This window comes from Homo sapiens, chromosome 15 (assembly GCF_000001405.40).
Source record: "Homo sapiens chromosome 15, GRCh38.p14 Primary Assembly".
NCBI lineage: Eukaryota > Metazoa > Chordata > Mammalia > Primates > Hominidae > Homo > Homo sapiens.
Window position 1 is genome coordinate 95688582 of NC_000015.10, and position 4160 is coordinate 95692741.

Consider the following 4160-nt stretch of genomic DNA (forward strand, 5'->3'; position numbering starts at 1 on the left):
TTTATGAATGAGAGCTAATGAGAGAGAAAGAAATAATAATATGCCATCCAAAAGAAGTAAAAGCAATCAAGTTATCTTTTATACAAATACTAGAGACTTACAAGTTTCAGGGCTAAGGAGTTCAACCCCATGGGTAGAAATGGTATTCCCATCTCTGGGGAAAAATGAACTTAAAAGCATACTTCATCCATGATTTAATCAAGGTATTATTGAGATCTATAAGAAGCAGCAATTTTCATCATTGGAAATGAATAAGAAATAAGATATTTCTGCTGCAAGAGCAATTTAGATTAATGTTACTGAGAAAGAAAAGAATGAACAATTGTAATACTCAAATGCTGCCCAGTTTTTAAGAACACCAAAGTAGATTCACGTTTTCATGTGCCTGAGGTGATTAGGTGAAATCCTGCATGAATACAGAGACAAATATATGAGGTAGACTGTTACATTCATTAAAATTTTAAACCCTGATGTTCTACAATTGCAACATAAATTCCTCATTTTAAAGGTAGTTGTATAATACACGCTACAGAATAGAAAATTAACAGTTGGAAAAAGATGAAGTCCAGAGATTCCAGATTAAAGTTTGGTTTTTATATGGAGTCGTATTTGCTTACCTTAGGATTGTAAGGACATGATATTAAAATAGTTCCATTCATAGTTCTAATAATAGCTCTATTTTGGGTATTTGAAACAAAAATTTGGAGGAAAACGTATTTTCAAAAAGTTAAATATACACACTCATGAGCTCATTAATATCTCTTATAAATCATGTAGGAATTTTACTAAACAAAATACATTTTATAGAAGTAATTTAATAAATATTATATTTGTTTTCATTTACTCATTAAACTTATTGAGTAATATGTCTTTCTCTGTGCCTAACTCTGTCCTATCAGTTTTGGGGATACCTTGATGACAATATCATATCTGGCATGCATAATGCCATTTCCTCCTTCCACATACAATTCTCAGATTTTTAAACTCTTTCTTATCAAGCCCAGACATGCCCTCAGCATCCTTCTCATCACAGGACTTTAGGCAGCCACTTCCATTTGGTGAAAAGTAGCACGCAAAATGCATCTAATTTGCCATTTCTCATATGTGACATCAAATAACTCAGTCTAGTTGAAGACAGTACACAGCTCACAAATGTTTGTGTGTTTTGATAAGGCAGGATTTTGATCATTAGTGTGGACTGTATAAGTTTCAGTGGAGGAAGAGATCACTCCAGGCTGGAGCAGGAACAGAGGTGAGTTCAGGTAATTGGTCTGCCACTTGGCAGTGTTGAAATGTGGCTTCGAGTTTAAAGGGGGAGAATGATCAAACAGAACAAAACAGTAGGAACAAAAATGTAGGTAGAGGATGAATGTGCAATGTGTTCATCATTATGCAAGGTAATATTTCTTTTTTAAAATATGCACTAATGTAATTTCTTAAATCCCCAAGGAAACGTCCAATTCTAGCTTATTTTACTGGGTTTGTTAAATAAATATACCTTCTCCTATCCATGTGTTCAATGAATTTTAAACTTCTGACATGTTCCCCTTCAGCTTGTGTCTTTCTAGCTAGAGTTTAAATTTTCCAGTCTATCGCCTCTTATCCCCTTGAGCGTTTTATTTGTCATTCTCTGTACAAGTTGCAAGCACATGGACACTTTCTTGAAAAGAATAAAGGGCTGTGGTGACAATAACTTCTCGTGTGCAGACTCATGTGAGTTTATGAAGTGCTGGTGCAAACACCCACTGTCCCAGGAAATCATCTTGCATGGGCTACTCCTTGAGTTTCCCTTTCACACATCATCTATCATTAATCTCTTTCTTTTATTCAAAAAAAGTTATCAGATGCCAACCACTCTTTCAAGGTTTTGTCTAAAATATTGGGGTTAAAGGATTCATAAGAAATGGTCTTTGAGGGCAAAAGAAAATCCAATGAAGTCAACAGATGCATAAAAAGATATTTGTTTTAAAAAATGAGCAAAATGCAATGATGCCTATGTTCACAGAGTGTCTTGAGAGCAATAAGAAGTGATCTGCAGCTTAGCTTGAGGGAGGGATAAATCAAGGAAGACTTCCTGGAGGCCAAAGTACCCAGTTTGTATCCTGAGGACTAAAATGATGTTGGTCGAAGAGAGAGACTTCTGAGGAACACAGGGCTTATCCCATAAGCAAATGACATAAGCCGTTTGCTATTACTATGTTTCTGACCACAATGCACAACTGACTAAGTTTTGGTTTCTAATCAACAGCCACCCGTGTTTCAAAACGGCAATACCATATCCTCAGTTCATAGCTGTGTGTTTCTGATTCAGCATGGAGAATATTATACTGGCCTAGTCTATGATGGCTCACAGGTGATACAGAAGGAACCCACTACCCAGTGATAAGAAAATAAAGAGATTTACTCTAGATGAGTGCTTCTGAAAGTGTTGTCCCTAGATGTGCAGCATCAGCTTCACTTGAGACCATGTTAGAAATGCACATTCTCAAGCCTCGCCTGGAACCTGCTGAATCAGAAACTCTGTGGGTAGGGCCTAGCGATATGTGTTTTAACCAGCACTTCAGGTATTTCTGGTATGCTGAAAGTTTGAGAAAACTTCCCTAGATAGGAGCTGAATCACACCAAAACGGCATTGGTTTTTCCAAAAGAAAGCTGGAATGTTCTTACCTGAAAGGGAGAACAATGAATGATGGCCAGCTGTTCAATGTTATTCATGAATACAATATTTGGAAAAAATGTATAAGAAGACAGTCATAGGTCCAATGTGGTGGCACATGCCTGTAATTCCCATGCTTTGGGAGGCCAAAGCAGGAGAATCATTTGAGGCCAGGAGTTGAAACCAGCCTGAGCAACATATCAAGGGCCCCATTTCTAGAAAATATTTTAAAATTTACCAGCTGTGGTGGCACATGCCTGTAGTCCTAGCTACTCTGGAGACTGCGGTAGGAGGATCGGATAAGCCAAGGGATTCAAGGTTACAGTGAGCTATGATGGCAGCACTACATTCCAGCCTGGGCAACAGAGCGAGACCCACTCTGTCTTAAAAAAAAAAAAAAAAAAGAGAGAGATAGTAATAATATTTAGAAACTCTATTTATTTCATCGCTTTAATTAATGAAAGAGTTAAAGGAATTTAAACTGTATCTTTTAAAAACTACGTGGCCCTCCTTTTAAATCAAAGACTTCAATCCAGGTCTTTCTATTGTACTCCATTTGTATTTCCACATTAGAATTTCTCTATGCCAAAGAATTATGAAAATCTATATTTTGCCATTGTACCACTTTAATATTCATTTTAATGACATAATATAAAAATTCCACTTTACTAAGAACACCCATAGCATAAATACCGTATAATGGGACATTTTAATTTTAATAGCAAAGAAACTGTGCTTATGCATCGCTCTAACATGATGGATAAAAGCATCCAAATTCAGTTCTTAGTACAACCTTTGGTCTACATTAGCAAAAATAAATATTAACATAAGAAATATATGATGGAAAATCTTTAGCACTGTATGAACAATTAATTCAAAATGGTATATTGATCTTTAAGTGCCCTAAAATAAAATTTATTAAGCAATTCTAAATGTTTCTCTAGCAAAAGCCTTCAGTATTTCACACATTTTTAGATAACTTAAGTAGAAAGAACCTACTAAACATTGAAGCAAATCTTGATGGTTTGGATGGGAAATTCGTGGGCCTCACTAGTAAGACAGAATTTCATAGTTAGGAATATATTCTTATAATAGCTTCGAAGTCAGCTTATTTTAAGATAGGTAAATATTACGCTGCTTGCATTTTGATTCCCTACTAAAAAGAGAGTAAATATTCATATGAATTACTCTCATGACCTCCTGTTCAATTGAATGGAATAGCTGGTTCAGAGGGAATCTAAAACACTGAGAGGAAACCCATCAGTTTGGATACAGAACCAGGAAAGGGGGTCCATGCTGTGTGGAGAACATGGGGGAAATATACATTCCTTTTCTCTTTCTTCTTATTGCTGCTTCTCCCCATTGGTATCAGTGCAGGGGCTAAAATTCTGAGAGAAAAACTGACCTTCTAGCTAGAGACTGGGAAAGGGGACTTTTAAAACTAGAGAATGTGTGGGAAATACTGAGAAGAAGAGAGGAAGTACTCTAACTATGTATATAAGCT

The 4160-nt window shown here is 36.0% G+C and overlaps 1 annotated feature.

Annotated features, from left to right (window-relative positions):
* Positions 2351-2410: an enhancer, noted in NCBI's record as "active region_10136". NCBI's record gives its function as "activates an Ori minimal core promoter by ATAC-STARR-seq in GM12878 lymphoblastoid cells {active_cell/tissue: GM12878}" and the evidence as "EXISTENCE:reporter gene assay evidence [ECO:0000049][PMID:35858748]".